The sequence below is a fragment of the Homo sapiens genome, chromosome 17, assembly GCF_000001405.40.
Source record: "Homo sapiens chromosome 17, GRCh38.p14 Primary Assembly".
In the NCBI taxonomy this organism is placed as follows: Eukaryota; Metazoa; Chordata; class Mammalia; order Primates; family Hominidae; genus Homo; species Homo sapiens.
Window position 1 is genome coordinate 75,965,660 of NC_000017.11, and position 12,647 is coordinate 75,978,306.

The window sequence follows — 12,647 nt, forward strand, 5'->3', positions numbered from 1 at the left end:
TATCTCTACTAAAAATTTAAAAAATCAACTGGGCGCGGTGTCACGAGCCCATACTCTCAACTACTCGGGAGACTGAGGCAGGAGGATCCCTTCAGTCTAGGAGATCAAGGCTGCAGTGAGCTATGATCAAACCTCTGCACTCCAGCCTGGGCAGCAGAGCAAGAACCCGTCTTTCAAAAATAAAAATATGCCAGGCCCAGTGGCTCACTCCTGTAATCCCAGCACTTCGGGAGGCTGAGGCAGGCAGATCACCTGAGGTCAAGAGTTCGAGACCAGCCTGGCCAACATGGTGAAACCCCATCTCTACTAAAAATACAAAAATTAGATGGGCATGGTAGCACATGCCTGTAATCCCAGCTACTCGGGAGGCTAAGGCAGAAGAATTGCTTGAACCTGGGAGGCAGAGGTTGCAGGGAGCTGAGATCATGCCACTGCACTCCAGGCTGGGTGACAGAGCAAGACTCCATCTCGAAAAAGAAAAAAAATAATAAATAAAAATAATAAAATAAAAAATAAAGGCCAGGTGCGGTGGCTCGTGCCTGTAATCCCAGCACTTTGGGAGGCTGAGGTGGGTGGATCACGGGGTCAGGAGTTTGAGACCAGCCTGACCAACATGGTGAAACTCCGTTTCTACTAAAAATATAAACATTAGCTGAGCATGGTGGTGCACGCCTGTAATCCCAGCTACTCAGGGGGCTGAGGCAGGAGAATCGCTTGAACCCGGGAGGCGGAGGTTGCAGGCAGCTGAAATCACACCATTGCACTCCAGCCTGGGCAACAGAGCAAGACTCCGTCTTAAAAATAAATAAAAAATTAAAATAAAAAAATAAAAAATAAAAATAAAAATAGAGTAAAAAGTCTTGGCTGGGCACGGTGGCTCACGCCTGTAATCCCAGCATTCTGGGAGGCCGAGGTGGGTGAATCACGAGGTCAGGAGTTTGAGACCAGCCTGGCCAACATGGTGAAACCTCGTCTCTACTAAAAATACAAAAAATTAGCTGGGCGTGGTGGCAGGCACCTGTAATTCCAGCTACTGGGGAGGCTGAGGTAGAATCGCTTGAATCCAGGAGGCAGAGGTTGCAGTGAGCCATGACTGCGCCACTGCACTCCAGCCCAGGTGACAGTGCGAGATTCTGTCTCAAAAAAATTTTATAAAGCACCAGTGGTCAAAATTTATGTTAGAAGAAAAACAAAGAAAGAAATAAACCTATCAATGTAATATATTTAAGGTTCCAGAAATAAATTTAACCTATTATAAAACTCTAAGACAAACCAGAAAGGACATAATGGGAATAAGATAATAATGGGAAAAAGCCACTAGTTAACAATGAACATTAGAAATCTCGGAAGCTGCGCCACTGCACCCCAGCCTGGGTGACAGAGTGAGACTCTTGTCTCTCAAAAAAAAGAAAAAAGAAGTACAAAAAAAAAAAATCTAGAAAACCATGAGATTCATTCTCACTCTGTATCATATACAAGTCAAATCATTAAACAGAAACCAAACAAAAATATTAGAAGAAAACAGAAGAGGCCGGGCGTGGTGGCTCACGCCTGTAATCCTAGCACTTTGGGAGACCGAGGCGGGTGGATCACAAGGTCAGGAGATCGAGACCATCCTGACCAACATGGTGAAACCCCATCTCTACTAAAAATACAAAAATTAGCTGGGTGTGGTGGTGGGCACCTGTGATCCCAGCTACTCGGGAGGCTGAGCCAGGAGAATGGCTTTGAACCCAGGAGGCAGAGGTTACAGTGAGCCAAGATGATGCCACTGCACTCCAGCCTGGTGACAGAGGAAGACTATGTCTCAAAAAAAAAAACCCAGAAGAAAACTATCCAAGTTATGGAAAAGATAAAATTTATACCTATGCAGAGAAGGATGTGTTAAATATATAAAGCAAAAACGTTTAGCAAAGCAGAAAATAATTTAAAAAATCGAAATATATATATATATACATACATATATATATACATACATATATATACGTATATATATACATACATATATATACATATATATACGTATATATATACATACATATATATACATATATATATACACATATATATATATACACGTATATATATATATATTTTTTGAGACAGCATGTCACTCTGTCACCCAGGCTGGAGTGCAGTGGCACGATCTCGGCTCACTGCAACCTCCACCTCCCAGGTTCAAGCGATTCTCCTGCTTCAGCCTTCCGAGTAGCTAGAATTACAGGTGCCGCCACCACTCCCAGCTAATTTTTAGATTTTTAGTACAGACAGGTTTCACCATGTTGGCCAGACTGGTCTCAAACTCCTGATCTCAAGTGATCCACCCACTTCGGCCTCCCAAAGTGCTGGGATTACAGGCGAGAGCCATTGCACCCAGCCAAAAAACCGTATTTTATACATAGAAAACACAAACAGTAAATCAAAACACGTAATAACATCCAGGCTTACTAGTAATGGGAAATTAAAACATTAAGTGTTAGAAATATATTAAAGTAGGCCAAGTGCAGTGGCTCACGCCTGTAATCCCAGCACTTTGGGAGGCCGAGGCGGGCGGATCACGAGGTCAGGAGATCGAGACCATCCTGGCTAAAACGGTGAAACCCCGTCTCTACTAAAAATACAAAAAATTAGCCGGGCGTAGTGGCGGGCGCCTGTAGTCCCAGCTACTTGGGAGGCTGAGGCAGGAGAATGGCGTGAACCCGGGAGGTGGAGCTTGCAGTGAGCCGAGATCCCGCCACTGCACTCCAGCCTGGGCGACAGAGCGAGACTCCGTCTCAAAAAAAAAAAAAAAAAAAAGTTAGCCGGGCATGGTGGAGGGTGCCAGTAGTACCAGCTACTCAGGGGGCTGAGGCAGGAGAATAGCGTGAACCCAGGAGGCGGAGCTTGCAGCGAGCGGAGATCATGCCACTGCACTCCAGCCTGGGCGACAAAGCGAGACTCCGCCTGAAAAAAAAAAAAAAAAAAAGAAATATATTAAAGTAGGCCATGTGCAGTGGCTCATGCCTGTAATCCCAGCACTTTGGGAGGCTGAAGCGGGCGGATCACCTGAGGTCAGGAGTTCAAGACCAGCCTGACCAACATGGAGAAACCCCGTCTCTACTAAAAATACAAAAGTAGCCGGGCGTGGTGGCGCATGCCTGTAATCCCAGCTACTCAGGAGGCCGAGGGAGGAGAATCGCTTGAATGCGGGAGGCGGAAGTTGCGGTGAGCCGAGATCACGCCACTGCACTCCAGCCTGAGCAACAAGAGCAAAACTCCGTCTCAAAAAAAAAAAAAAAGAAATATGTTAAAGTAGCAAAATAAATTAAAGTGACCACGTTGATGGAGCTGTGGAAATACAGGTACAGAGCTTGCTCAATATATTGTCAACTGGTTCTGTGTTTCAGGAAAAGCCTCAAACTATGCAGCAAAAGCTCTAAAATGCTCATGTCCCTCAATATAGTAATTCATTTCTGAGAGGTATTCCAGAAGTATGACCCCAAAGAATACAGCGTCTTATTTATTTATTTATTTATTTATTTTTTGAGACGGAGTCTCACTGTTGTTACCCAGGCTAGAGCGCAATGGCGCAATCTCAGCTCACCACAACTTCCACCTCCCAGGTTCAAAAGCTTCTCCTGCCTCAGCCTCCCTAGTAGCTGGGATTACAGGCACGCACCATCACACCCAGGTAATTTTGTATTTTTAGTACGGACGGGGTTTCTCCATGTTGGTCAGGCTGGTCTCGAACTCCCGACCTCAGGTGATCCACCCACGCTGGCCTCCCAAAGTGCTGGGATTACAGGCGTGAGCCACCGTGCCTGGCCAGAACACAGCTTTCATAAAGTTTATATTATTATCACTAATATTGGTGAAATTTAGCCCAAATCCCCAGGGAAGCAAGTCTCATGAGAAGTCCAACAGGGAAGAGAATCACTTGGGCAGAGGGAAGAGGAGACTGTTAAGCCTAGGGAGAGAGGGCAACGGAGTGCGGTAAAGACTGATGACTTAAAAATCAAGTTTACTACCTCTTTCCAGTTTCAAAGAAAGGTGCATTATTTCATATTTAAGTGTTAATGATGGCAATTTGCCAGGATACTGCATCAGCTTCAAGGATAACTATGTATCATACAATCTCTATATTCCTAAATAGATGGTAATACGAAACAAGGCAATGTGACCCCAGTCCATGGGTGAGGAATAAAGAAAGAAAGGAACGAAAGGAATGGAGGAAGGGAAGAAGACAGAAAGAGAGCGAGAAAGAGGCCGGGTGCAGTGGCTTACACTTCTAATCCCAGCACTTTGGGAGGCCGAGGTGGGCAGATCGCCTGAGGTCAGGAGTTCAAGACCAGCCTGGCCAACATGGTGAAACCCTGTCTCTACTAAAAATATAAATATTAGCCAGGTATGGTGGTGCACACCTGTGATCCCAGCTACTCAGGAGGCTGAGGCAGGAGAATCACTTCAACCAGGGGGAGGTGGAGGTTGCAGTGAGCCGAGATTGTACCATTGCACCACTCCAGCTTGGGCAACATGAGACTCCTTCAAAAAAAAAAAAAAAAAGAGGAAGGAAGGAAGGAAGTGAGCAAGCAAGCAAACAAGGAAAACAAAGCAAGAAGAATCTCCAGAAATGGCCACATCTTGAAATGATTACATATCTGTGAAGAGCAAACAAACGACCTGTTTTGTGGCCTAAAGAAACATATGGTCAGGATGATAACATGGACCCAGTTCCCCAGGCTGTTCCTTTGATCCCAGAACTCCAGGGAGGTGAGCCTATCACCCAGGTTCAGGCCTCTGCCTTTGATTATGGCTCCCAGACCCACAGGGCAGGTGTATATCCGAGTTTCTTCGTGTCCTTAGAGGAAAGAAGACACACTCTAGAAAGAAGGATAATGCTGGTGACTGAGACTTTCTGTAGGTGACTGAATTTTAGGATTTGGAAGGAACATGGAGTGAACCTGAATACTTCTGAGCCCCTTCACTTCTCAGCAGCTACCCAGAAGTGAAAGAATCCCAAACCCAAAGTTACAGCTACTTCTGTGAGACCGCGTTAGATAATCACTGTTCACTGTTGATCCATTTTCCAAAGTCTCAGAATTTAAATAGTTAGATCTCATTCTATATAAGCTGCTCTATTGCCGATCTCCTGGACGTTGACTTTTTGTGTATTCCATATAAGATAAAACCGTCACGTGATGCAAATTAACCAACCTGACTTATTTCCAAGGAAAAGATCAGTCATCAACCAAGAACAGCAATATGAATTAGCAAAATTCCAGCAAGAAAAAAGACTAATCTTAGGACACTGTTCTCTAAACCACAGAGATTAAGACAACGTTGGTTTAAATACAAGAAAATACCCAAAACTAGCTGGGCATGATGGCTCACGCCTATAATCCCAGCACTTTGGGAGGCCGAGGCGGGCAGATCACCTAAGGTCGGGAGTTCGAGACCAGCCTGACCAACATGGAGAAACCCCGTCTCTACTGAAAATACAAAATTAGCCGGGCATGGTGGCACACGCCTCTAATCCCAGCTACTAGGGAGGGAGAGGCAGGAGAATCACTTGAACCTGGGAGGCGGAGGTTGCGGGGAGCCGAGATCGCGCCATTGCACTCCAGCCTGGGCAACAAGAGCAAAACTCTGTCTCAAAAAAAAAAAAAAAAATACCCAAAACTAAAAGCAATAAGGGAACGAAAACTCTAACAAATGCAAACTTGCCCACAGCCATATAGGATCTCTGTCCAACTTCTGTTTGCCTCAAACCAGTATAGTTCAAGTCTTCCTTTCTTCCTCTCTCCTTTCAAAAATTAGGGCAGGCCGGGCGTGGTGACTCACACCTGTAATCCCAGCACTTTGGGAGGCTGAGACAGGTGGATCACCTGAGGTAAGGAGTTTGAGACCAGCCTGGCCAAAATGGCCAAACCCCATCTCTACTAAAAATAACAAAATTAGCCGGGCATGGTGGCAGGTGCCTGTAATCCCAGCTACTCAGGAGGCTGAGGCAGGAGAATCCCTTGAACCCAGGAGGTGGAGGTTGCAGTGAGCTGAGATCACTCCACTGCACTTCAGCCTGGGGCACAGGATGAGACTCTGACTCAAAAAAAAAAAAAAAAATTAGGGCAAATATATATTTGTGATATTACTTTATAAATGAGGCAGAAGCATTAGACCAACAAGAGGTAAGAGGTATACTTAACAAATCCATTAGCCTCAGACTATTTCACATCTTATGCCTCCTATGAACAGCATGACTGTTAAGTCGAATAAATTCTATAATGATGAATACTGAAACAGAGTTCTGTACCACAAAGCTACTTCAAAATTACAACACACACACACACCACGCATGCATGTACACAAACACACAGATACTCCAAGCGAGGAGGACTACATAAAGAATCTTATCTCTCAGGCCGGGTGCAGTGGCTCATGCCTTGTAATCCCAGGACTTTGGGAGGGCAGATCACGAGGTCAGGAGATCAAGACCATCCTGGCTTACACGGTGAAACCCCGTCTCTACTAAAATACAAAAAATTAGCCGGGCGTGGTGGCGGGCACCTGTAGTCCCAGCTACTGAGGAGCTGAGGCAGGAGAATGGCGTGAACCCAGGAGGCGGAGCTTGCACCGAGCCGAGATGGCACAACTGCACTCCAGCCTGGGCGACAGAGTGAGACTCTGTCTCCAAAAAAAAAAAAAAAAAGGAAGGATCTGTCAGCCAGGCGCGGTGGCTCACGCCTGTAGCCTGTAATCCCAGCACTTTGGGAAGCCAAGGTGGACAGATCACCTGAGGTCAGGAGTTAAAGACCAGCCTGGCCAACATGGAGAAACCACGTCTCTACTAAAAATACAAAATCAGCCGGGCGTGGTGGTGAGCACCTGTAATTCCAGCTACTCGGGAGGCTCGGGCAGGAGAGTCACTTGAACCCAGAGGCGGAGGTTGCAGTGAGCTGAGATCATGCCATTGCACTCCAGCCTGGGCAAAAAAAGCAAAACTCTGTCTCAAAAAAAAAAAAAAAAAAAAGAATCTTATCTTCCTTTACAAACCTTTCTTTCAGGCTTATAATTTCAGTACTGACCATCTTGAAGTTGAAGTCTTGAGTGTTTAGTAAAGTGTCTGGAACATCAAACCATGACCAGAAAGCTGCAGTACCCATGGAGATGACAATAAATAACATTTTCCTTAAACCAATTCACACACTGAAATCAGCAATCAAACACAAAATGATGTTTCCCTGATATCTGCATCCCTTTTTCTTTCCCTTTCTTTACTCCTGCCATTTTGATAATTAGACATGAGGCTGGGCAGTTCAAATTCCAAACACTCAAACCTGCCAATGGCCTTGTCTATGAAAACAAACCTATTTCACATTAAGATCAAAAGCAAAACTTTTTGAAGGAAGCCAGATATTTAGGAACAATTTAACAAAGAATTACTGGCAACACAAGAGTTCCCAGACATGTAGGGGAAAAAATGTCTAAAAAGACTGAAGTCAGATGAAGAGAATCATGGACTTTTTTCCAAACTGCCTTATAACCCTGCTAGTGGGCAATGAGATGAGACAGGTAGCTGCCACTGCCTGCTGCCCCCATTAAAATCCACAGCTTTAACTGCATTAGAGCAGAGAGGCGCTTTCCAGATATTGCTGAGGCACTAACCCTCTGAAGAATTTCCAACAAAGTCTTTACTCATTAGACCCAGAGTAACATAATGGGGTTCCCCGCTGCACTGTAAACCCCATCTTTTCAAGCTGTTCAATAATAAAAGGCTTTAGGAAATAACAGTGAATGACGTTTATAGGCCAGAGCCCTGGACCAGTTTCCAGGGAAAATGTCTAGGAGAAAACAAGAAGTTGAATTTTGACTTAACAACTTAAAAATAGAATCCCAAACAGGTAGCAGCAGAAAAAAGTCAAATGCCAGCAATCACTGTTAACTGATGTCCTGAGGTGGGTTACCCACAGACCCTCAATGTGGACTAACCGTGGCCCATTTCCGTCTGGGCGTAGGTGCCAATTATCTGGAGTCCTTTGGATGAAAGCAGCCATTTCTCTTTCTGAGCAGTGGTGCCCTGATTCAGCAAGGTAGGAATAAACATGGAGTAATTGAGGCCCACAGGTTCCACAAAATTGACCAAATGTAGTCTACAGGAGAGAAGAGAAAAGGATCTCAGCCTTCCTTTAGAAACTGCATCCTACAACCCCTTCTTGCCAAACAGCTTTGGCCTTCAAGGAGAAGGTCAGGAAAATGTAAACCCCCTTCTTATGAAATTAAATATAAGATTTACCATTTTACTACCTAAAAAGCCAGCAGCAGAACCTGATGATCTCTCTTCTTCTAATTATTTCAAGGCCACAGTTCCCACAGTTCATTTCGTATTTACATTTAATCCACTAAGCAAATTCTACCTAAGTTTTAGCATAAAAACTTCTCTAATTTTTGGAAGGGGAGGTTGTTGGTGTTATTTGCTGGTTTGATTGGTTGAATTTTTTAGAATGTGTGTGGTTTTTTTTTTTTGCTTTATTTAGGTTTTACCTGTTTGTTTCAAAGAGCAAAAATAACTCCATAGAACACTTATTTATAGCGCTGTTAACAAGAGCTCCAAGGAAGAAATAATTTCAACTATGTTTCCCTAGATAATATAAGCAAATATCCAAAAGAGTAAATACATATTCCAGGGCAGAATCATACATCGCTAAAGGTCTTCAGGGTTTACAATAAGTAATGTGGGCATGTAAAAATTTATCCCCAATGGTCAATGAACATTACTACGGATTAACTCTACATCACATTGAAATTTAGTCCTCAACTCTCTTCTTACAAAACAGAATCCACAGTAGTTGGCCTTGGCTGTGCTGTGTCATAGATTTTATAGGGATCAATTTTGTACTTTGACAAAGCTCGTATCTAAAAAGTTTAAAGTACAAAATACATCTCATCTAACTGATCTTCACGACTTCTCAACACATGATTAGGAAGCAATGTTACTACCAGTTTATCCTAACCTGTGCAATGAGCAGAGCATGAACTAAAGGACAGAAGGGATAGGCTGCCATTGCAGTGCTGGGGGACCCTGAAACCAAACTACCACCTTAAAAGAAATAATAGTAGCCGGGCGCGGTGGCTCACGCCTGTAATCCCAGCACGTTGGGAGGCCAAGGCGGGTGGATCACGAGGTCAGGAGATCGAGACCATCAGATCGAGACCATCCTGGCTAACATGGTGAAACCCCGTCTCTACGAAAAATACAAAAAAAAAATTAGCCGGGTGTGGTGGTGGGCTCCTGTAGTCCCAGCTACTCAGGAGGCTGAGGCGGGAGAATGGCGTGAACCCGGGAGGCGGAGCTTGTAGTGAGCCGAGATCGCACCACTGCACTCCAGCCTGGGCGACAGAGCGAGACTCTGTCTCCAAAAAAAAAAAAAAAAAAAAAAAGAAAGAAAGAAAGAAATAATAGTAAACACAATATACCCTTATTTTTCTATTTCCTAAATAAGTACTACACGGTTATCCCCGCCATTTCTTTTTTTTTCTTTTTTGGAGACAGTCTCCCTCTGTTGCCCAGGCTGGAGTACAGTGGTGTGATCCCAGCTCACGGCAACCTCTGCCTCCTAGGTTCAAGTGATTCTCATGCCTCAGCCTCCCAAGTAGCTGGGATTATAGGCGTGTGCCACCAAGCCCGGTTAATTTTGTATTTTAGTAGAGAAGGCGTTTTGCCATGTTGGCCAGGCTGGTCATGAAGTGGCCTGGCCTCAAGTGATCTGCCCACCTCAGCCACCCAAAGTGCTGGGATTACAGGCGTGAGCCACCATGCCCCAGTCCCATTGTCTTTTCTATCTTACATAAATCATAATCCACTTAGAAACAAAAAACTCTCAACATGGATGCTCTTAGATACGAATATTTCTAATTAATCAAAATGAATTAATGTAATCATTATAGATTCCACCAGAGGGAACGACTTCTGCGTCCTAATCATGTGTTTAGAAGCTGCTCATTAACATCAGTTAAAAATGTTTTCTCAGCCAGGCGCAGTGGCTTATGCCTGTAATCCCAGCATTTTGGGAGGAAGGGGCGGGTGGATCACAAGGCCAGGAGTTCGAGACCAGCCTGGCCAACATGGTGAAACCCCATTTCTACTAAAAATACAAAAGTTAGCTGGGTGAGGTGGCAGATGCCTCTTCACCTGCTGATAATGGAAATAAATGGAAATGCAGAGAGAGAGAGAGAGAGAGAAAGAAAGAGAGAGAAAGAAAAAGAAAGAGGAAGAGAAAGAGAAAGAAAAAGAAAGGAAAAGAAAGAAAAGAAAAGAAAGAAAGAAAGAAAAGAAAAGAAAGAAAGGTGATGTATTTCACAATTAATAGCATGTCACGGTTAACTGGCAGCATTCTTTCTTTCTTAGTGGTACACAAAACACTGGTGTGAGTTATAATCGATGAGATTATATAACCGAGGCTTTAACTCGATAGCATGCGATAATTTCCAGGACTCATTTACAAACCCCTTCTCTTACTTAAAAACTGATCTCCTTGTCATATCCTAAGGACATTGGAAGTGTGTCAAAGGGTGTGTTAAAGTTTGTACTTTAATACTTCACATGAAAAATGATACACAAAACAACTTCCCGGTGTCCATGAATCTTTAACCCGCATAAAAGACTTTGTTCTATTTCATTGTGACCTCACTCGAGTCTGGTTCACATTATCAACAGGTCACAGGTTATGAAATCATCTCTATCAGCTTTGAAATGCACTGCACCACCCATTCAAACACACACACACACACTCAACCCACTTTTTTCCTGACGTTTCAAGAAGGAATAAAATCTTACTAATTTTTTCAAATTTACAAACACAACACAGGTATCAGTAACATAATCTTCTAGGAGGAGTTACTCTATCTCAATATCCCCACAGCCATGAGTTACAAACTTCAAAAACAAAACAGACCATTTGGAAGTATGCTGATTTGAACTACCAAAAATAAATAAACAAAATTTTTTCGTTTAAAACTGAGTGGAGCTCTGAGGAAAGTCCAAAGTGCCAGAGTAAACCATTTCATCTTCACAAAAATAACCCAAGTCAAGCTGAAAATCGATACCAAAGGCACTAGAGGCAGTGACCATTATTACCATAAAGGCAGAACGTGCAACATGTTCTATTTAGCTTGGTTCTAGTCTATACACCACTCATACGATTTAGTCTTTACCGATGAAAATACTGGAGTTCCTTTAAAATGGAGAAACCTAAAAGAGAAAATGCCCAGGAATAAATGAGAAAAAAATGCTATAGGCCAAAATAATCTTGTACTAGGATCATGTAATAGTGTTTGTTTAGGTTAAGGCAAAAAAGTCTTTTTTTTTTTTTTTTTTTTTTTTGAGACAGAGTCTCTCTTTGTTGCCCAGTCTGGAGTGCAGTGGCGTGATCTCGGCTCAGTGCAGCCTTTGCCTCCCAGGTTCAAGGGATTCTCCTGCCTCAGCCTCCTGAATAGCTGGGACCCCAGAAGCGCACCACCAGGCCCGGCTAATTTTTGTATTTTTAGTAGAGAGAGTTTCACCATTTTGGCCAGGCTGGTCTCGAGCTCCTGGCCTCAAGTGATCCACCTGCCTTGGCTTCCCAAAGTGCTGAGATTACAGGCATGAGCCACTGTGCCCGGCCCGAAGTCCTTATTTTTATTTATTTTTACCGTTCCTTGTGGAGCAGGGTGGATCACGAGGTGAGGAGTTTGAGACCAGCCTGGCAACATGGCGAAACCCCATCTCTACTAAAAATACAAAAATTAGCCGGGTGTGGTGGCGGGCGCCTGTAATCCCAGCTACTCAGGAGGCTGAAGCAGGAGAATCGCTTGAATCCGGGAGGTGGAGGCTGGAGTGAGCCGAGATCGTGCCACTGCACTGCAGCCTGGGCGACAGAGCGAGACTCCGTCTCAAAAAACAAAAACAAAAACAAAAAACACAACAAAACACATGGTCTGAAAAAAGGATATACTCTCTTCCACACTAGAACCAAGGCAGGTTTTTATGACGTCTCTCTCATATGCACAAGACAACCATTCAAGCACTGTCATGGATTCAGAACTACTGGGTTCTTAGACTTTCTATTCATTCAGAGGCGTCACAGATCATTCTTCATCCAGGTCCACACTACCATATAATATAATCTGCTATTGCTCCAAAATATTTAAATGGTCGTGCAACTAAAAAAAAAAATGCTCCCAGATTCAGAATTTTAGCAGTCCTCCTTACAAAGAGCAAAATGATTCTGCATTTAAATCAGTCAAATTTGAGTTGCTTGGGCAGAACAATGCTTTTACAACATCCTTGAAACTGTACTCTTGAGAACAAAAACTCCTGCATTTCCATTTATTATCAGCATTCTACAAACACGTCATCCCACGAAAAGGCTTGGATACAAAAGTGATCACATTATTTTTCACACATATAACTTTATTTATTTATTTATTTATTTATTTTTTGAGATGGAGTCTCGCACTCTTGCCCAGGCTGGAGTGCAGTGGCGCGATCTCGGCTCACTGCAAGCTCCGCCTCCCTAGTTCACGCTATTCTCCTGCCTCAGCCTCCCGAGTAGCTGGAACTACAGGCGCCCGCCACCACGCCCGGCTAATTTTTGTATTTTCAGTAGAGATGGGGTTTCACCGTGTTAGCCAGA

At 43.8% G+C, this 12,647-nt stretch overlaps 1 protein-coding gene across 5 annotated transcripts in view, besides 1 other annotated feature; it reads right to left on the bottom strand.

Moving 5' to 3' along the window:
* Positions 1 to 12,647, bottom strand: part of ACOX1 (acyl-CoA oxidase 1) — a 37,660-nt gene that overhangs the window by 24,153 nt on the left and 860 nt on the right. Inside the window, exon 3 of one of the 5 annotated variants that reach the window (NM_007292.6) lies at positions 7,966 to 8,126. The exons of 3 other annotated variants lie outside the window; for them this stretch is intronic. In NM_007292.6, coding sequence (NP_009223.2) covers positions 7,966 to 8,126 — 161 coding nt within the window. Of the gene's footprint in view, positions 1 to 7,965; positions 8,127 to 12,647 lie in introns of those variants that run through there. One more of the 5 variants, XM_047436182.1, reaches the window with a different exon arrangement.
* Positions 4,407 to 4,526: a silencer, noted in NCBI's record as "fragment chr17:73966147-73966266 (GRCh37/hg19 assembly coordinates)". NCBI's record gives its function as "represses an EF-1alpha promoter that drives an FKBP-Casp9 reporter gene in an ReSE screen in phorbol 12-myristate 13-acetate-treated (for megakaryocytic differentiation) K562 erythroleukemia cells {active_cell/tissue: K562(+PMA)}" and the evidence as "EXISTENCE:reporter gene assay evidence [ECO:0000049][PMID:32094911]".